This window comes from Homo sapiens, chromosome 6 (assembly GCF_000001405.40).
Source record: "Homo sapiens chromosome 6, GRCh38.p14 Primary Assembly".
In the NCBI taxonomy this organism is placed as follows: domain Eukaryota; kingdom Metazoa; phylum Chordata; class Mammalia; order Primates; family Hominidae; genus Homo; species Homo sapiens.
This window is the reverse complement of record NC_000006.12, coordinates 136,448,437-136,469,778: the sequence shown is the minus strand read 5'-3', so window position 1 is coordinate 136,469,778 and position 21,342 is coordinate 136,448,437. Positions and strand designations below refer to the sequence as shown.

The window sequence follows — 21,342 nt, the reverse complement described above, 5'->3', positions numbered from 1 at the left end:
ATTAAATTGTAAGCTATCAGTTTGGGCTTTATCCATCTGCCAGTATCCAGCACTGATGTAGTTTTGCTATATAGTATATTGAAAATGAAACCAAGCCAGGAGCAGTGGCTCATGCCTGTAATCCCAGCACTTTGGGAGGCCGACACGGGAGGGTTGCTTGAGCCAGGAGTTCAAGACCAGCCTGGGCAACATGGCAACATGGCAAAACCCCTTCCCTACCCCCCTCCAAAAAAGCTGGGCATGGTGGCATGCCCCTGTGGTCCCAGCTACTCGAGAGGCTGAGATGGGAGGATCACTTGAGTCCAGGAGGCAGAGGTTGCAGTGAGCCAAGATCACACCACTGCACTGCAGCCTGGGTGACAATGAGACCTTCAAAGAAAGAAAAAGAGAGAAAGAGAGAGAAAGAAAGGAAAGAGAAAGCAAGCAAGCAAGAAAGAAAGTAGGGAGGAAGGAAGGAAGAAGAGGAAGGCAGGGAGGGAGGGAGGGAAAGAAAGAAAAGAAAAGAGAATGAAACCAAAAGCGGGGTGATAAGCTGATACCTTAGTCTTGAGAAAATACCAAGAATGATGTGTGGATTTAGGATCATGCCTCTTTCTATGACAGTGGCTGTGCAGTGTACAGTTTAAGATGATACATAATTGATAGTACCCACTGCTCCATGCACTGGGACAGAGAAATTGGCTTGAGCCACTTGTCGTATACAAAAACCTTTATTCTCTTTTCTCTCTTGTTGTCATTCAGCTGTTTTTCTGGATGAATTCACCACCATTTAGTTAAAAAAAAAAACAACAAAAAACTGTTTTTGCTAAGGGAAGAGTGGTGCACTGTCTCCACACAATGTCCTCTGTCTTTCCCTGCCTTTCTTCTGTCCTTGTGGTACCAGTCATTTCCCATCAGCAGGCAGCACTGGCCTGAATGTCTTTGTTGCTCGGAAGTGAGAAGTCACCTCCTTACTTAGAGGGAGGGTAGATGCTGCAGCAGAACATAGTGCAGCCAGGTCCCGACTTAAGAGTTTTCAGCTTTATGATGGTGTGAAAGCCATATGCATTCAGTAGAAAACACACTTTGAGTACCCATACAACAATTCTGTTTCTCACTTTGGGTACAGTATTAAATAAATTACATGAGATATTCAACACTGTATTACAAAATAAGCTTTGTGTTAGATGGTTTTGCCAACTATAGCCTAATGTCAGTGTTCTTAGCACATTTAAGGTAGGCTAGGCTAAGCTATGATATTCAGTAGGTGTATTAAATGCTTTTTCAACTTATGATATTTTTAACTTATAATGGGCTTATCAGGACATAACCCCATTGTAAGTCGAGCAGCATCTGTATCGGGATGAAGAGTCTGCCACTTAACATCTTCAGCAGTTCTTCTGCATCTCAGAGTTTCCTCATCTGTAAAACTGGCGTCATAATAGGGTTGTTGTGAGATTAGACCAGTTCATATGTGTAAAAGCCCTTAAAATAATATCTGACACATAATAGATGATCAATAAATTTCAGCTGCCACCCACAACAAAGAATTATCCAGTCTATAATGTCAGGATCAGTACCATAAGAAGGATAAAAAGAAAAAAAAAGTCAGTAGTACCAAGGTAAGGAGCCATGCACGCAAGGTGTTGCCCATGTCTATATAGGCTACTTTTGAAAATGGAGTGGGTGGGGAGTGGTGGTCACACGCTCTGATGCTGGGTCTCTGGGGCTGTAGGGGTGGTGCTGGGCTAGAAGGGGCACTCCACTGGCTCCTCCTAAGGAGTCGGTAGTTCCAAGGGTATTAACAAGGTTAGTTGCCAAGTCCAGTGCCCACACTTGACCCTCACGCGTCTTAGAAACCATGAGTGGCCAATCTCTTTATTGGGTCAGGTCCAACTGCTCAAAGGGGCTAGTTCAGAGGGGCTTGGCAGGTTTTATTTTCTTCTAAAAATTGTGTTTTCCTTTTCACATTGGGCCCACTGCTCACCCAAACTCATTAAGTTAATTGGTTGTAATCAAAGTGTTCTGGCCCCCAAGTCACATGTTTTTAAATGCTGTGAGGGCAAGGCAAGGTTTTAACCTGATCCTTTCTCCTCGGTTCCCACTCTATGACCCTAAACAAAAAGCCCTTCTAAAGATAATCCCAAGTCAAAAGTGTGGTAGACATGTTGAGTTCACAGTTTACAATGCAATATATCACTGACTAAAAAATGATAAACTCTGAGGACCAATATTTAACATATATAGAAATAACTTCTAAAACTTTAGCATTTAAATTCACTAGTTCTTCTTCTCCCCTGGGAAAGCCTTCAGAATTATTCAGAACTTACTAAAGCAAGTCAAGTTTTTGGACTTTCTGAACAGGGCACCTAAATGTCATTCCATACACTTTCTCAGTGACTCCATGTCTGTTCTCAGCAGTGAAGGGAGAACAGAGGCCACTCTGCCTGACTGATTTTAAATGATCGCCTTTTTCAGATGCTTTTAGTATGGAAACAAAATCAGCCATAACCTTCAGGGTTTTAAATGTCACTGTTAATGCATCAGGAAGCCCAAAGACAGACAGTCTGGAGAAATAGTATGTAATGTTTAGATGATTTTGGTAAACAGCTAAGTTTTTAATGTATGTTTAATGTGCATTCTGTTTGGGGCCTCTGAGTTTGAATCCCTGAGACCGAGCTGATGTTTAGCAACCATTTCTTAACCAGGAAAAGCCTCCCCTACTCCCAGCCCATAGCCATTTGAGCTTCACTGGCTTTTTTGAACAGAAGCATTTCCCAGTTTTTGCTTGGTTCAGTGAACACGGTTACTGTTTAAAAACAGTGGCTGTCGAGTTGTATGTCTCACCACCCTTTGCTCTCCTCTTGAGCTACCTCAAGCTGTGTGAGAGATAATAGTTAGCATGATTAAACGGCCCCTTCACTGATATTTGGTCTTTGCCTGGCTGAGGGACACAAAGCAAGAAGAGGGAGACATGCAGATATGTTGCAGGATATTCAAGAAAGAAGGATTTTAGCATGGAAGACACTAAACTGTACTGTAAGTTCTTGGGCTCAAAATGTGTTTTGAAAACCTTAATAAGGACGTTCAAGAATCAGGCAATCTTTAAATCCATTTTGACAAATTAATACTTATAACAAGTGGAAGTACAGAGTAGGAAATCTTCTAATCTTTTTTTTTTTAATCATTGTTTTAATGTCCTTAGAAAAAGGAGTGGGAATTTAATTAAATAAAATGATATTTATTATATAAACTATGGATTTATACTTCTACCTTCATGTCCTAGAGCCGTTTGATAGTTTCCATGAAAATTAAAGGCAAACCATCATCATTCTCTATTTTCCATACTTCTTTCTTTTTTTGACAAAAACAAAGTGAGAAGCTGAACAGTAGCAAACTAGACAAACATACACAATTATGCTGCTGTCCAAAAAAAATTTCAGTATATAATTTACTGATAATTTCTTAGACCTCTTAATATTTGTGTCTAGATCAGATCAGGGTTTTTGAAAAATGGTTGCTTTTCTATTTAGAGAGGTGTATTTGGGGAGTGCTGTTGTTTGCTTATTAAAAAGAAAGATCACATTTATCTTGCCTACTTATTTTTTTATTTTGTTTTGTTTTATATCAGAAACATTATTTGTGCTGCCCAGTTATGTCTTTCCCCAGAATGCTCTCATTTTCATGATATGTAAACAGTGAGTCACACATGGGCTTTACAGAGAAAATACAAGCATTGGAACTTTATAGACTACATTTCGGGGAGTAACTTTTATCACTTTATTTTCTTTTCTAGAAGTTTATGTGGATGTTCTATCAAGTTTAATTTTTAGAATAATAAAGCTGCCTTATTCACTAAATTATTTGCCTTTTAAAAATATAAATCTTCATTTTCACAGATAACATTTGCAAATTTGTGTTATAAAAACACACCTCCTACATTTCATGTAGGAGACATACGTGAGGTATATACTTGCCAGTATCCAGCAACTGTTAGAAGATGGATTAGTGTCAATAAGTGGTTTGCTTTTGGTATTTTATGATTATAAAATATAGAGTCCGGGCAGCATATTAGAAATATCTTTGGGGTTGGATCTGAATTTGTCTTTTAGCTCTGACATTTACTAGTTCTGTGATTTCAGACAGGTGATTTATATTCTATAAGTGTGTCAATATCATTAAACAATAGAATAATCTCAAATGTTCAGGGTTGTATATACATTAAAGAAGAGTAAAAATGCCTTGCCTGATATTTAATCGGCTAACTGACTTTCCATTTTTTTTGCCCTTAATGATTCTGTTTTATGGAGACGTATCTTTCTTTGCAGAAAGCATGTTTACATATCTTTTCAAGTATTAGGATAAGACATAGTTGATGCATAAGCACTGAATTTCATTATTATTTGAATGTGATAAAATAGGATTGCTTCTATCAGATGAAATAGAGGTTACTCAGTAAGAAAACTGGATAAATGTCCAATTAAGAAATTTAAAATTGAAGGGAGAATTTTTTAAAAATCCAGATAATTGGTCAAAAACTCCTAGATAAGTGGCTTAAAATACTCAATTTTTGTATGCTTGATTTTGGTCCTAGTTTTCCAATTTCCTGCAAAAGTAGATAACACAGAAGCTGCATGTTTCCATAAATTCAAATTTCAGTGGAGGTGCAGGGGGAGCTGTCCTCTGCACACTTCGCAGCTGTGTGTGTACTCGACATACGGCAGCCCTGCTGCTCATTCATGAAAGTCCACATGGTTGTGGGAGCAGAACCTGTTTTCACCATCAAGCTGCTGTGGAATAATGAACAGCATGGTACACGTGACCTCCTCTAGACAAAAAGTGCTCTCTGTCATTGTTTGGTCTGACTTCAGCACTTTTCACTACCTGATGCTTTAATGCTTATTGTCTTTCCTCACACTAGAATATATGCTCATAGAGGGCAGGGGATGTTATCTGTTTTGTTCACTGATGTATCCCAAGCACGTAGAACAGTGCCTGGCAACCAGTAGGCACTTAATTATCAAATTAATGAATCCATCCCTAGTTTTCAATAGCACGGCAAAGTAGGAGAGACCACACCTAATCTCTTTATTAAAAGACAAACAAAATGACCAAAAAGATATGGTTTTATATAAAATCAGGAGTCTCACTGCAGTGGAACATGCTAATTGTTTTTGTACAGTAGTCCTTCCATCCATGGTTCCAAGATCCCCAGTGCATGCCAGAAATGGCAGATAGTACCGAACCCTGTATGTACTATGTCTTTTTCTAGGCATATATACCCATGACAAAGTTTAGTTTATAAATTAGGCACAGTAAGAGATTAACAACAATAGCTAATGATAAAATAGAGCAGTTATAACAATATAGAGTAATAGGAGTTACGTGAATGTGGTCTCGCTCTCTCTCAAAAATATCTTATTGTACTGTACTCACCAATTTTCAGACTGTGGTTGACCACAGGTAGCAGGAACCTCAGAAAGTGAAACCATGGATAATTATAACTCCTGTAGTTGATAGACCACTACTGGTTTGTTCTAACTTTTGGAAGAAGAAAAGAAAGTCAGCATGCAATGTTAATATCTTCTGTTATCATAGATGATTCAAACAGTGTTTCAAGCAGAAAAGAAAAAATCAAGAAGTTTACTTCCTTCATGAAAGATAGTTAAATTGAATACTCCAGAAAGATAATTTCATGGTGAAATGCCAGGTCACAGGCCGAATAACATCTCTCCTTGTCTGAAGCCTGGGTGAGGCCAACGTTCTGCTCAGCCACTGCAGGAGGGCAGCCCCTTCCACATACACAATGAAGGTCATGTGGTATGGCCAACTCAAGCTCTTTTACCAGGCGTTTTATGGTTGGCATATTTTTTAGAAGCTACAAATCTTGTTAAGCAAGGCACTCGAACACTAGCTGTTCTCAAACTTACATTGCCTCTGTACCTTTACCAAGAAGACAGAATGTTGTACTTGAAAGTCAGAAAACTAGATTTCAAAACTCAGCTCCAACACTTCATGTTTGCCTGACCACAGGCAAATCTCATTTAACCTCCCTGAGCCTCAGTCTCCTCCTTTATAAAGTGGCCCTAATTTAAGATGATCAAGGAAGTTATGCACAAGAAAAGGATCTATAACCCATAAAGCAAATTATACAGTGTTACTCCAATATAAACTAAAAAACAATGCAAGTTCTTTCCTTAATAAGATTAAAAATTTTGACTTTATATTGTGTATTTGCCAAAATATCACTAGTTAAGGTGGAAAAAACACCTCAGCAAAACAGTGAAAAGACTAAAGAACATTTTGGAAAAAAAAATTCTTTAGAAAACATTGTAGCATATTGGTTAGGATAATAGATTTTAAAGTCAAATTGATGTGGATTTTATTCACAATTTAGCCATTTATGTTGACAAATTACTTCTTTGAGCCTCAGTTTCCATTTCTATAGGGTATGGAGAATATTTCCTAACATGCAGTCTTTATGCAGTCTTACTGTGAGCAGTAAATTGAATGAGACAAAGTATTTAAAGCATTTAATACATTCTGAAACATAGTAGATATTCAATAAATGAAAATTGTATTTCTGGTTAGTATTTTAATTCTTCATAAGTATCATTGTGTATATGGTATGCCTTTTAAATGATATGGGGCCAAACTCTTAAGATGTATTAATTGACTACAACTATGCTGCATAAAACTCTGGTGGAAATTTCCTCAAAGAAAATGATTCTTTGATTTTCAATAACTTTTACTTTTCTGAGCCTTATGATATTTAGAATAGGTGGTCTTTGAAACATGCATCAATAAAATTAAAGGGTTTTTTGTTTTCTTTTTTTTTTTTTTTTGAGATAGGATCTCACTCTGTCGCCCAGGCTGGAGTCACGATCTTGACTCACTGCAACCTCTGCCTCCCAGGCTCAAGCAATCCTCCCACCTCAGCCTCCCAAGTAACTGGGACTACAGGCATGCACCACCATGTCCAGCTAATTTTTGTATTTTTAGTAGAAACAGGGTTTCACCATGTTGTCCAGGCTTGTCTCACACTCCTGAGCTCAGGTGATCCGCCTACCTCAGCCTCCTAAAGTGCTGGAATTACAGGTGTGAGCCACCACACTCAGCCTGTAAAATTAAAGTTTTAAATACCATCATCCACTCACCTAAACCTCCTGAGACCTCAAAGTATATTCGGTTAAATGGAGTTTAACTTTCCCTCCACCTAGGTATTCACAGGCAAAGAGCACTGGCAGGGGCATGTCAAGGACAGAACTTAGAGATTCTTTTTCTAGGAAATGTGTTGCTTGTGAATCTGCTATGCTGTCCAGGCAAAGAGTTGCTCAAGTTTAAACATAAAATCTGCTGTGTATGTTCTAGAAATGAGATAAAATGAAAGAACTGGGAGAAACTTAAATCAGGAAGGACATTGAGTTGGTAATACATACTGTCACACAACCTAAAAATGCTCAAGTTCTGAGATTTACCATTTATAGTCTAAGATATAAATGATACATTAAAAGCCCCCAATCCTTTCTCATAGCGTTTCACTGAGTCATTCTTTAGTGACTAGTCTCTGAACTGAAATTTTTGTACTGAAGTGCAACCACTGGTATACCATCTTTTTTTTTTTTTTTTTAAGAGAAGGGTCTTACTATGCTGCCCAGGCTAGATTGGAACCCCTGGGCTCAAGTAAGCAATCCTCCCACCTCAGCCTCCTGAGCAGCTGGGACTACAAGTATGACACTATGCCTGGCTTGATATACCATCTTGACAATGTAATTTATTTATTTTTAATCAGAGCCTTAAGGTGACATAAATAAATACATTTTAAGTGAACTACAAGCCAATTGGCCTTTTAAAACTTAAAGTTTTAAAATATGTGAGAATACAGATTTGAACCAATAGCATATGACTACTTAGCATAAATAGGAGTTTTTCTACTTTTTAATACCCAAGGCAGTTTGTTCACCAAAATCTAAAACTCCTAATAGTGTTTAGAGAGAAAACCCTAAAAGCGTATGAGTAAATTCCACTATATTTCCAGTTATATGTGTTGATCCATAGTTTTCTTCAAAATACCCCAAACAGTCCTTAAAGGCATCAGTATTCTCAATCAGAGGATACTTTTCTGCAAGGCATATTCCATTTTAAAAGATAATGCCTTAATCCATTTCTGGATCGTAACCCATTAGGTTATATAAGTGTGTTTCTAATATCACAGACAATAAACTCATGTGGCCTGAATAGCAAGTAACATGCGATGAAGGACCAAGGAAGGTAAATGTTAATATTTAAGCTTTCTACTTACTTGATCTAATATTAACAATGCAAAGGTTTCATGTTTCTCTTTAGCATAACAGTTATAAAATAGTCAAAGATCAACATTTTTATATAATGTTTTATTGAGCCTTCTTGCTTTGAGATCTTGAAATTTGTATTTTTACTTTTCTCATAAGTGAAATACACAATTTAAATATGTAAGTATTCAGTAATAATGTTTCAGTCATTGTCGAGGTAAAAATTAAATATGTCATTCAGGATTTTTGTTTGGATTCAAATTAGGTGAAATCATCAATAACTAAGCAAAAGCTGTTTCTTTACATGAATTGTAGCTATACATAAGTGAGAATTCTCTTAGTTATAAAACATGGAGTTTGGAGTTTTCGTAAATACTTCTTAATTATATCCTTGACTATGTATTTTCTTAAATATTTTTAAGGTGTACAATGGGATAAAATGGAGCTGTTAGGAATAAGATGGAGAAATTCTTAATTGTGTCAGCTGTATAGAGGGTTTTAGCCTTTTCATGTAAGTTATGCTCGCTATACCCAATAGCAACTGAGTTGATTGAAGTCCTGTTATTGGAACCTAAGAGGTCCATATACCTTAGGACAAGTATAATGAAAATGATGTGTTCTCATTGGGTCTAGTGGAGGGCTGTATTCCTCAGGAACTATTAAATTAAGTGTTCTGTGGGTTTAAAGCAGTTAATTAAAAAAAAAAATCTTCAGATGCACCTTGGATGTTGCTTCACTGTGGTGTTTATTATGACAGCAACTCTACAGCTACCTCAACCCAAAAGGAAGAGTCTAGTCCCAGGATGGCAAGTGAGGCTGCATTCTACAAGTCACAGCCCAGGAAATTGTAAATCTGCTTGTATTGAAGGATGAGGTGTGACAGAGGACCCTTCTAACCTAGAAGAAATCAGTCTTTCCAAATGAAAAACTACAGGGCAGGCTTGTTTCCTTTTGCTTTCTATGATATGTAAACTGTTTTTAGGTGACGAATTAGGAAGATAAACCAGTTTCAGCTGACAAAAATGTTTGTTTTCCAATCATCTTTTTATAAACAGTGCTTCATGTGTATAATAAGTAAATGTATTTATTTTAATGATCCAAATATAACATAGCATTACAGAAATTTTGGCAAAAACAAAAAGAAACATCATCCATAATTTCTTCACCCTAATGCAGCTTTAGCAATTTTCATGTATTCCCTCTCAGCATCAATGTGCATATTAATAATCAAATAATTGTTATTAAATATTATATGAGAAATTATCCATGGTACTGACTTACTTTAAATACATTTATTTTCACTGGTTAGATACAAATCCATGGAAGGAATAGTCCCCCATTGACTATTACTGCTTTTGCTTTTTTACAGTTACACATGTTACTTTAATGGATGTCTTTAGGTATAAGACTTGTTCCACATCTTACAACATTTTGTTAAGTTGGTCCTTCAAAAGTGGGATTCAAAAGTGGGTGCCTCAAAAGTGGGATTGTGGAGTCAACAATTTTGAACTTTTTCATGACAATAGATAAATATTGCTAAATTACTTTCCTAGAGTTATGCCAATATAATAATATACTATAGCTCTGTTTTGTTCATTGTGGTAAAAATACTTGACATGAGATCTGCCCTCTTAAATATTAAAGTGTACGATACAGGATCATTAACCATAGGCATCATGTTGTACATCCTATCTCTAGAACTTACTCATCTTGCATAACTGAAACTTTATACCCATTGAATAGCAACTCCGCATTTTCTCCTCCCCGTGGCCCATGGCAACCACCATTTTATTCTCTGCTTCTATGAGTTTGACTGTTTTAGATACATCATAAGTGAAATAATGCAGTGTTTGTCCTTCTGTGATTGGCTTATTTCACATAGCATAATGTCCAATAGAGATATCCATATGGCAGGATTTCTTTCTTTTTTAGAAAAAGGCTGAATAATATTCTCTTGTATGTACATACTACCTTTTTCCATTCACTTGTAGATGAACAATTAATTTGTTTCCATATCTTGGCTATTGTACATAATGCTGCAGTAAGTATGTGAGTGTACATATCCCTTTGAGGTCCTGATTACAGTTATTTTAGATAAATATCCAGAGGTGGGATTGCTGAATCATATGGTATTTCTGTGTTTAATTTTTTGAGGAACCTTTATACTGTTTCCCATAGTGGCTGCACCATTTTTCATTCTCAGTAACAGTGTACAAGGGTACCAGTTCCTCCATATCCTCACCAACACTGGCCATCTTTTTTTGTTGTTGTTGTTTGATAATAGCTATCCTAACAGGTGTGAGGTGATAGCTCATGAGGATTTTAATTTGGATTTTCCTGATGATTAGTAGTATTGAGCATCTTTTCACATACCTGTTGGCCATTTGTATGTTGTCGTTGGAGAAATGTCTATTCAGTTCCTTTGCCCATTTCTAAATTTGATTATTTGGTTTTATTGTTGTTGAGTTGTAAGAGTTCCTTAAATTTTAAATACTAACCCCTCATCAGATGATATGGTTTGCAATTATTTTCTCCCCATTTTGTAGGTTGCCTTTTTACTCTGTTGATTTCTTTGCTGTGCAGAAGCCTTATAGTTTATGTCCTAGTGGTCTATTTATGCTTTTATTGTATGTGTTTTTGATGTCATGCTCAAGAAATCATTGCCAAGACCACTGTCATGAACCTTCTCCCTATCTTTTTTTCTAGAAGTTTTACACTTTTAGGCTTCACATTTAGGTGTTTAATCCATTTTGAGCTGATTTTTGTGTATAGGTCTAATTTCTTCCTTAAGCATGCGGATATCTAGTTTTTCCAGCATTATTTGTTAAAGAGACTGTCCTTTCCCCATTGTGTATTTTTGGCATTCTTGTTAAAGATCAGTTGACCATATATTTGTGGGCTTATTTCTGGGCTCCCTATTCTGTTCCATTTGTCTATATGTCTTTATTCCATTACCATACTGTTGGGATTACTATAGCTTTGTAATCTACTTTGAAATAGAAAAGTGTGATGCCTACAATTTTGTTCCTTCTCCTGATCATTTGACTATTCAGAGTCTTTGGGGTTCCATATGAATTATAGGACTGTTTTTCCTATTTCTGTAAAAAATGCCATTGAGATTTTGATATGGATTGAATTGAATCTGTAGATTGCTTTGGGTAGTGTGGACATGTTGACAATATTAAGTTTTCCCATCCATAACCATAGGATATCTTTCCATTTATTTGTATCTTTTAAAATTTCTTTAATCAACGTTTTATGATTTTTCAGTATACAAGTCTTTCATCACCTTGCTAAGTTTATTCCTAAGTAATTTTTGATGCTATTGTAGATAGGATTGTTTTCTTAGTTTCCCTTTTGGATAGTTTGTTGATAGTATGTAGAAATGCAACTGGTTTTTGTATGTTGATTTGGTATCCTTTAACTTCACTGAATTCCTTTATTAGTCCTAACAGTTTTTCTGTGGATTCTTAAAAGTTTTTTTTACAAATAAGATCATGTCATCTACAAACACATTTTACTTCTTCCTTTTCAGTGCTTATTTCTTTTTCTTGCCTAATTGCTCTGGTAAGGACTTCTAGCTCTGTGTTGAATAGAAGTGGTGAGAGTGGGCATCCTTGCCTTGTTCCTTATCTTAAAGGTATAGTTTTTCACTACTGAGATGATGTCAGCTGTGAGGTTTCATATATGGCCTTTATTATCTTGAGGAAATTTTCTTCTATTCCTAGTTCATTGAGAGCTTTTGTCATGAAAGGATATCAAATTTTGTCAATTTCTTTTTCTGTAGCTGTTGAGATGGTCATGTGTTTTTTTTAATCCTTCATTCTGTTACTATGGTGTGTCACATCTATTAATTTGTGTATGTTGAACCATTCTTACATCCCAGGGATAAATCTCATTTGTTCCCTTAATATACTGTTGAATTCAGATAGCTAGTATTTTGTTGAGTATTTTTGCATCTGTCTTCATCAGGGTTATTGGCCTATAGTTTGCTTGTCTTGTAGTGTCTTAGGCTATGGGGTAACGGTAACACCGCTTCGTAATTTGAGTTCAAGAGTGTTCCCTCTTCTTCAATTTCATGGAAGAGTTTGAGAAGGATTGGCATTAATTCTTTAAATGTTTGGTGGAATTCACCAGTGAAGCCATCTGGTCCTGAGCTTTTTTGGGGCAGGGGATGGGGGCGGGATTTTTTTTTTTTTTAATTCCTGATTCAATCTCTTTACTATTTAAAGGTGTGTTCAGATATTTTATTTCTTCATGATTCAATGTTAGTAGGTTCTGTATTTCTACAAATTTTTCTCCTCCTTTTAGGTTTTCCAGCTTGTTAGCATATAATTGTTTAATTGTTCATAGTAGCCTTTTATGGTCCTTTTTATTTCTGTGGCATCAGTTATAATATCTCCTGTTTCATCTCTGATTTTTTTTTGTTTGAGTTTTTTTTTAGTTTAGCTAAAGGTTTGTCAATTTTGTCTTTAAAAAAAAAACTTTGTTTCATTGAGTTTTTTTCCCCAGTGTTTTTATATTCTCCTTTTTTTTCCTGCTCTGATCATTATTACTTCCTTGCACTAGCTTTATACCCTGTTCTTCTTTTTCTTGCTCTTTGGTGGTATAATGTTTTGTTTTTATTTGAAGTATTTCTTCTTCTTCTTCTTCTTCTTCCTCTTCTTCTTCTTCTTCTTCTTCTTCCTTCTTCTTCTTCTTCTTCTTCTTCTTCTTCTTCTTCTTCTTCTTCTTCTTCTTCCTCCTCCTCCTCCTCCTCCTCCTTCTCCTCTTCCTTCTTCTCTTCTTTCTTCTCCTCTTCTTTCTTCTTCTTTCTTCTTTCTTCTTTCTTCTTTTTGAGACAGGGTATCACTCTGTTGCCCAGGCCGAAATGCTATAGCATAATCATGGACCACTGCAGCCTTGATCTCCTGGGATCAGGTGATCCTTCCACCTCAGCCTTCCAAGTAGCTGGGACCACAGGTGCATGCCACCACACCTACCTAATTTTGTTATTATTTGTAGAGACAGGGTCTCCCTATGTTTCCCAGGCTGGTCTTGAACTACTGGCCTCAAGCAATTCTCCCACCTTGGCCTTCTAAAGTGCTGGGATTACAGACATGAGCAACCATGCCTGGCCTTTTTCTTTCTTTTTAATGTAGGCATTTATAGCTATAAATTTTCCTCATAGCACTGCTTTTGCTGCATCTCGTAAGTTTTGGCATGTTGTATTTTTGTTTTCTTATGTCTCAAGATATTTTATAATTTCCCTATAGGAAAGGCAAAAAGTCTTTTTCTCTACTCATTTCAGGTTTTCCAGCTTAATCTTTCCAAAGACAGATTAACAGGAGAAAAACAAACAGAAGTTTATTAGCATGTGCATCATGTATGTACACTTGGGAGCACACAGCTATGAGTAACCTAAATGGGTGTTTAGAATTTGAGCTTAAATACTGTCTTAGACTAAAACAAAGGAGTGGAGGCTTGGGGCTTTGTGGCTGGGTAAGCAAGTTATGGGAAATTGACCAGGAAAAGTATAATAAACAGGGGTTGTTTAGTAAGGTTTTGTATGCACATTTAAGTTGATGTCTTCTCCATTGATATGTTAGGAGTTATCATATCCCTACTGAGTTAGAGGGAGATATCTCTACAAATGGAAATTTTCTATTTAAATATAAATTTCCTTTACAAAAAGAAAATTTGTGCCTTGATTTTAGAGCTTCATATTGAGTCTGCTGATTCTCAGTGGCATTTGGCTCAAAATCCATTAAATAAAGATTATTTGGGGTAACATATTCAGACCCATTTGTTGGTTGTTAAAGACCCATTCATTGGTTAAGAGTATATTGTTTAATTTCCACATATTTGTGAATTATCTTGTATTCTCTCTGCTATTGATTTCTACTTTAATCCTGTGGTGCTCAGAAAAAATACCTGGTGTCATTTCAGTCTTCTTAAATTCATTAAGACTTGTTTTGGGACATATCCTGGAACATAGCACTTCTGCTGCTCTGAGGTGAAATATTCTATATATGTCTTTTAGGTCCATTTGGTCTATCGTGTTTTTCAAGTCCCCTATTTCTTATTGATTTTCTGTCTGTTTGTTCTAGCCATTACTGAAAGTGGGGAATTCAGATTTCCTCCTACTATTGTATTGTGTTTATTGCTCTCTCCAGTTCTGTCATTGTATGCTTTATATATTTAGATGCTCAGATATTGGGTGCATATATATTTATAATTATTCTATCTTCCTGGTGAAATGACTCTTTTATCATTATATAATATTCTTTATAACACTTTTAATATTCACATATTGCTGTTTTTACCTGTCTACTACTCATATTTCTAGAGTTTTCATTGCTACATTTGGAAGCACATGTCTAATATTCCTTTTCAGAGTACACACTAGATGAAAGATGAGGGACTGTCTGACCAAGGATCCAGAAAGGGATAGTTCAACTATAGGTGAAGGTAGTTCTAAACTCATGACTATGTACTATATAGTCTTTAAGGAGTAGCATAAGTTTAAGGCAATTTTTGTCTCCTAGTGTCTCTTCTCTTGGCCAAATTTAACATCTCAAGTAGTCCTTTGGATGAAAGGTAACTGGAGATGTTTTTTATTTTGATTTTTTAGACAGAGTCTTGGCCTATCACCCAAGCAGGTGTGCAGTGGCATGATCATAGCTCTCTGTAGTCCCGAACTCCTGAGCTTAAGCCATCCTCCCATATCAGCCTCCCAAGTAGCTGTGAGTACAGGTGAGGGTCACCTCACCTGGCTAACTTTTTTTTAAGAGATGGGGTCTTGCCGTGTTGCCCAGGCTGATCTTGAACTCCTGGGCTCAAGTGGTCCTCCCGCCTCAGCCTCCCAAAATGCTGGGATTTCAGGCGTGAGCCACTGCACCTGGCTGTTTGCTATTTAAAAGACATTTTCAGGCCAGGTTCGGTGGCTCATGCCTGAAATCCCAGCACTTTGGGAGGCTAAGGCGTGAGGGTCGCTTGAGCCCAGGAGTTTGAGACCAGCCTGGGTAACATAGTAAGACCCATCTCTACCAAAAATTAGCTGGACATAGTGTCACGTGCCTGTAGTCCCAGTTACTTAGAAGGCTGGGGCGGGAGGATCGCTTGAGCCCAGGCGGTCAAGGCTACAGGGAGTTGTGATCACACCACTGGACTGCAGCCTGGGAGACAGCGTAAGACCCTGTCTCAGATAGATAGATAGATAGATAGATAGATAGATAGATAGATAGATAGATAGATCATTTAGGTAGGGTTAAGTCTTCATGAGCATTTAAATCCAAATTAGCATTTTATTCTGATGGGTTTAATAGGTCCAATGATGAATGAATTCTGATGGGTGGTAGCTGGCTCATCATTTGTGGAACTGAGTAAACCCTATTAAATATCTGTTTTTGGAGGATTTGGCAGTTTGGGAAGAGCCTCTGAGCTCTATGTTCCTCGGTAGACAAGGTACCAAGTGGTTGAAATGTAAATATGGAGATGAGGCATTGAAAAGGAACAACTTTACTGATGTCTTGCATAATTGCAAAACTAGCAAAAAAAGGAAAAAAAGCCCACCTCAGAAAGACTAATTTCTCTTGATGAACACTTAGATTTAAAATTAAGTGGTCTGTATTTGTTGATGTAAGTATCAGTCATAAACAGCTTTGGCTGAATACTATGAAGCTATTTCTTCAGTGTCCAAGCAAGCACTCAGTTGCTTTTTAAATAAAAGTTCATGTTATTTTACCAAATTATAACAGTAATATTTACCAAATTAAATCAATATTTTATCCAGTACCTCCATATCAACATAAGGAAGAGAACCAAATTAAATTATCAAAATTTGTTGGGAATCCTAATGGTAAAAATAAGCATAATTACAAAAATTTCTACCTATTTGTGTCTAATGCAGGAAGTCTCTATTCTGACATGTATTCTAATGATGAGAAAAGCTCCTCACTCGTTAGGGAAAGTAATCAGATAGCCTGACCACTGCCACAACCCTTAAAGTCACTCACTGAACATTCACTAGATTGTCCGGAAAGCGTATTATGACAAATGCAAATAAAAGAATTTAAAGACTGTCACTGTTAGCTAATTACCACTGGGACAGAATCTTAAGCAGTGCATTTGAAAATTCTGAAACAGATTGGATTTATTATAAATTAATGACATAGGATGTTCATTAATTATTAAGCTTTGTTGAAATACACTGAATGTTGTACACAGGTTTTACAGCCAATGGCTGCCATCAGAATGTTTTGAAATTATACCCACGAGAAAAATAGAAAGGTTTTTATCTCCATTCATTTCCAGTGGCTTGTTAGTTTTAGCATGGGGGAAAACATAACTTTTCCCGAGTTCTCAGTTGGCAAGAACACTTGTGGCAAACTTCAGATTAACAAAAGAAAACTAACAGAAGTTTATTAACATATATACTTCACGTATTCATGAGAGATGCCTAGGGAATACCAACTGAATCTCCAGAGTACAGGCATACCTTGTAGATACTTTGGGTTCAGTTCCAGACCACTGCAATGAAGTGAATTTCACAAGGCAGTCACACTAATTTTTTGGTTTCCCAGTGCATATAAAAATTATATTTACACTATACTGTAGTCTATTAAATGTGCATGATGTCTGAAAAAACAACATACATATTTTCATTACAAATAGTGGCCGGGCATGGTGGCTCATGCCTGTAATGCCAGCACTTTGGAAAGACGAGGAGGGCAGATCACTTGAGGTCAGCAGTTCGAGACCAGCCTGGCCAACATGGTGAAACCCTATCTCTACTAAAAATACAAAAATTAGCTGAGCATGGTGGTGTGCACCTGTAATCATAGCTACTCGGGAGGCTGAGGCACGACAGTCACTTGAACCTAGGAGATGGAGGTTGCAGTGAGCCGAGATCGTGCCACTGCACTCCAGCCTGGATGACAGAGCAAGACTCTGTCTCAAAAAAAAAAATTAAAAAAAAAATTATTGCTAAAAAGTGCTGATGATCATTTGAGCCTTTAGAGAGTCATAAACATTAAGACAGCAGTGAAGTTGATTGCATCAGTAGACTCTTCCTTTCATTTCTCTGCAGCATGCAATGCTGTTTGATAGCTTTTTACCTACAGTACAACTTTCAAAATTGGGGTCAGTTCCTCTCTAAGTTTGTGTAATATTCTAAATCCCTTGTCCTTTCAACAACATTCATAGTATCTTCACCAGGAGTAGCTTCCATCTTAAGAAACCATTTTCTTTGTTCATCCATAAGAAACAACTCCTCATCCATTCAAGTTTTGTTTTGTTTTGTTTTGTTTTGTTTTGTTTTGTTTTGTTTTGTTTGAGACGGAGTCTTGCTCTGTCTCCCAGGCTGGAGTTCAGTGACTTGATCTCGGCTCACTGCAACCTCTGCCTCCCAGGTTCAAGCGATTCTCCTGCCTCAGCCTCCTGAGTAGCTGGGATTACAGGCATGTGCCACCATGCCCGGCTAATTTTTGTATTTTTGTAGAGACAGTGTTTTGCCATGTTGGCCAGGCTGGTCTTGAACCCCTGATCTCATGATCTGCCCACCTCAGCCTCCCAAAGTGCTGGGATTACAGGCGTGAGCCACTGCACCTGGCCCCATTCACATTTTATCATGAGATTGCAGCAATTCAGTATTCAGATTTTCCTTCTAATTCTAGTTCTCTTGCTGTTTCTGCAACAGCTGCAGTTACTAACCTCCACTGAAGTCTTGATCCCCTCAATCATCCATGAGGTTTGGAATCATCTTCTCAACTCCTGTAAATGTTGACATTTTTGACCTCCTGCCATGCATCAAAAGTATTCTTAATGGCATCTAGAATGGAGAATTCTTTCCAGAAGGTTTTTAATTTACTTTGCTCGGCTCCATCAGGGGAATCACTATGGCAGCTATAGCCTTAAGAAATTTATTTCTTAAATAAGACTTGAGAGTCAGAATTACTTCTTTATCCATGGTCTGCAGGATGGGATGTTGTGATAGCAGGCGTGAAAACAACATTCATCTCCTGGTCCATCTCCATCAGATCACTTGGATGACCTGATGCATTGTCAATGAACAGTAATATTTTGAAAAGAATCTTTTCTTCTGAACAGCAGGTCTCAACAGTGGACTTAAAATATTGAGTAAACCATGCTGTCAACAGATGTGCTGTCATCCAGGCTTTCTTGTTCCTTTTATAGAGCACAGGCAGAGTAGATTTAGCAAAATACCATAAAGGGAAGTGCAATTAAAGAGATGCCTATAAATGTCTAGGAGGTGGCTTTAATACATGTCTACAGAAACAGAGGAGGCGTAGAGAAAACCTGTTATGGGGAGGTGATCAGGAAATATCTAAACAAGGGTAAGGTTTGTTGCGCAGATTTAAGTAGGTGCCTGCCCCATTGATAAGAGTTTCTAGTTTAGATTTAGAGCCATCCCTTTCTTTCTGGTACAGAGATGGAGACACCTTTACAAATGGAGATTCCCTTTATGGATGTAAATTTCTCTTACAAAAGGGTAACTTGCTTTATGTTTTCAGAGCTTTTCCAGTTTCTGCTGTTTCTCAAAATAATCCTTATGCCAAAAAGGCATATTTGGGGTACAAATTTTTGTCTCCTACAGTCATGTTTTGAGGTGGAATTCCCTGAGCCCCACCAGCAGTAACCTTCAAAAAACAGAACATTGACTTTTATAGTATTTAATGCCTCCTCTTCACAGAAATGTATCCACTTTCTTTCTTTTTTTTTTTGAGATGGAGTTTTGCTCTTGTTGCCCAGGTTGGAGTGCAATGGAGTGGTCTCAGCTCACCACAACCTCTGCCTCCCGGGTTCAGGCAGTTCTCCCGCCTCAGCCTTCCGAGTAGCTGGGATTACAGGCGTGAGCCACCATGCCTGGCTAATTTTGTATTTTTAATAAAGATGGGGTTTCTCCATGTTGGTCAGGCTGGTCTCGAACTCCCGACCTCAGGTGATCAGCCCGCCCTTCTATAAAAAGTGTGGTATATCTTAAAAAGTCCTTTTAAAGAAATGATAATTTAATATTTGAGATAGTTATTTTATTTGGAAGTACTAGATTATTTGCATTTTAATATTTTAATATTAAAATTTAAATATTTAATCAGGTAGAAATATTCCATGCTGGGAATTTTGTTTAAAAATTCATTTTAAAAAAAAATCTATGTTTATGATATTGTTAGTGGGAAATTGCTATTTAAAAACAAGTGAAGAAATCTTGGAAATAATGTTTAGATTCTAATTTGTTTTAGTTTACTTTTTCTACTTAGAATTGTGTTGGTGAAAAGGATAAAAGGCTTATACAGAAGCCAAATGGTATTTTTATTTTTATTTTTGAGACAGAGTTTTGCTCTTGTCACCCAGGCTGGCGTGCAGTGGCACAGTCTTGGCCCACTGCAGCCTCTGCCTCCCGGGTTCAAGCTACTGCCTCAGCCTTCTGAGTAGCTGGGATTACAGGCATGCACCTCCATGCTCAGCTAATTTTGCATTTTTAGTAGAGACAAGGTTTCGCCATGTTGGTCTAGGCTGGTCTCAAACTCCTGACCTCAGGTGATCTGCTTGCTTTGGCCTCCCAAAGTGCTGGGATTACAGGCATGAGCCACCGCCACCGTGCCTGGCCTCCAAATGGAGTTTAAAAAGTTGCATTTATTCAGGTTCCTTTGTTGTATTCCTTCAAGAACTGTGTTCTTCCCTCTCAGAGCCCTTATCCCAGTTGCTCATGTAAGTTCATCAGTGCAATCGTTGGCTAATGCCTTCGTCCCTATGGGCAGAGCCCCTGCATACTTCTGCCCCCCTTTAAATTAAGTTTAGCCTAAAGCTGACTCCTTACATATTTTTAGTTTTTCCTAAAGGTCTCCTGGTACATAGTGAACTGTGACCTAACTGGATCTGTAAACAGACATTAGGGAGACATAATCTCCCAGCAATCACCGAGTATCAGCCAATCACAGCAGCCAGCTGTTCAAATCATGTTCAAATAAGGCAAATGCCGGGCTGTAACCAATCGGCTGTTTCTGCACCTCATCCCCATTTTCTGTGCATCACTTTCCTTTTTATTAACATAAATCTCCAACCATATGGCAGCACGGAGTCACTCTGAACTTATTCTGGTTTGGGGAGCTGCACGATTCTCGAATTGTTCTTTGCTCAGTTAAACTCTGTTAAATTTAAATTGCCTTACATTTTTGTTTTGTTTTCGTTTTTGTTTGTTTGTTTGTTTGTTTGTTTGAAGGAGTCTTGCTCTGTGGCCCAGGCTGGAGTGTAGTGGTGCGATCTCTGCTCACTGCGAGCTCCGCCTCCTGGGTTCACGCCATTCTCCTGCCTCAGCCTCCCCAGTAGCTGGGACTACAGGCGCCCGCCACCATGCCCGGCTAATTTTTGTATTTTTAGTAGAGATGGGGTTTCACCGTGGTCTCGATCTCCTGACCTCGTGATCCGCCCGCCTCGGCCTCCCAAAGTGCTGGGATTACGGGCTTGAGCCACTGTGCCTGGCTTGCTTCTTTTTTTTTTTTTTTTTTAACACCACTGTTGTGTCCCCAGTACCTGGAACATTGTATGTAGGCATGCTTTAAGTGGGGGAACAGATGCGCTGATGGATGGGGGAAGAATTCTTCTAGTCATTCTAACAGTGCATGAGGCTTTTTCAAAGATAATAAAATATTAATTGTTTTTTTCCCCTTTCTTGGCAACTGATAGAAAAGATTGCTTTACTGTTTTCTCTTCTTTTTCATTCTGGATCTTGTATCTCTCAGGCATTGCTATAATTCCATTTTGTAGAATGGGAGTCCTTTATAAGAATTCATAGGCATTGCTAGGCACGGTGGCCACGCCTGTAATCCCAGCACTTTGGAAGGCCAAGGCGGGAAGATCACGAGATCAGGAGATCGAGACCATCCTGCCCAACATGGTGAAACCCTGTCTCTAGTAAAAATACAAAAATTAACCAGGCGTGGTGGCGGGCGCCTGTAGTCCCAGCTACTTGGGAGGCTGAGGCAGGAGAATCACTTGAACCCGGGAGGTGGAGGTTGCAGTGAGCTGAGATTGCGCCACTGCACTCCAGCCTGGACGATAAGAGCAAAAACTC

At 37.8% G+C, this 21,342-nt stretch overlaps 1 protein-coding gene across 39 annotated transcripts in view, besides 4 other annotated features; it reads left to right on the top strand.

Annotated features, from left to right (window-relative positions):
- The window catches only part of MAP7 (microtubule associated protein 7), a 207,689-nt gene that overhangs the window by 80,644 nt on the left and 105,703 nt on the right, over positions 1 to 21,342 (top strand). For 4 of the 39 annotated variants that reach the window (XM_047419515.1, XM_011536246.3, NM_001198615.3 and 1 more), the window contains exon 1: positions 2,901 to 3,018. The exons of the other annotated variants lie outside the window; for them this stretch is intronic. In XM_047419515.1, the coding sequence (XP_047275471.1) occupies positions 2,997 to 3,018 (22 nt within the window). In that variant the 5' untranslated portion in view covers positions 2,901 to 2,996. Of the gene's footprint in view, positions 1 to 2,900; positions 3,019 to 21,342 lie in introns of those variants that run through there. 39 annotated transcript variants of the gene reach the window in all.
- Positions 2,462 to 2,662: a silencer, noted in NCBI's record as "peak6145 fragment used in MPRA reporter construct". NCBI's record gives its function as "represses an SCP1 promoter by STARR-seq MPRAs in K562 erythroleukemia cells {active_cell/tissue: K562}" and the evidence as "EXISTENCE:reporter gene assay evidence [ECO:0000049][PMID:32103011]".
- Positions 4,729 to 4,898: an enhancer, noted in NCBI's record as "experimental_90217 CRE fragment used in MPRA reporter constructs". NCBI's record gives its function as "activates a minimal promoter by MPRAs in K562 erythroleukemia cells, with activity observed for both the introgressed and non-introgressed 6:136786104 or rs17723064 variant alleles {active_cell/tissue: K562}" and the evidence as "EXISTENCE:reporter gene assay evidence [ECO:0000049][PMID:34662402]".
- Position 4,813: a transcriptional cis regulatory region, noted in NCBI's record as "Neanderthal adaptively introgressed variant 6:136786104 (GRCh37/hg19 assembly coordinates) or rs17723064 in the experimental_90217 CRE". NCBI's record gives its function as "modulates activity of the experimental_90217 enhancer by MPRAs in K562 erythroleukemia cells {active_cell/tissue: K562}" and the evidence as "EXISTENCE:reporter gene assay evidence [ECO:0000049][PMID:34662402]".
- Positions 6,102 to 6,271: an enhancer, noted in NCBI's record as "experimental_90214 CRE fragment used in MPRA reporter constructs". NCBI's record gives its function as "activates a minimal promoter by MPRAs in K562 erythroleukemia cells, with activity observed for the introgressed 6:136784731 variant allele {active_cell/tissue: K562}" and the evidence as "EXISTENCE:reporter gene assay evidence [ECO:0000049][PMID:34662402]".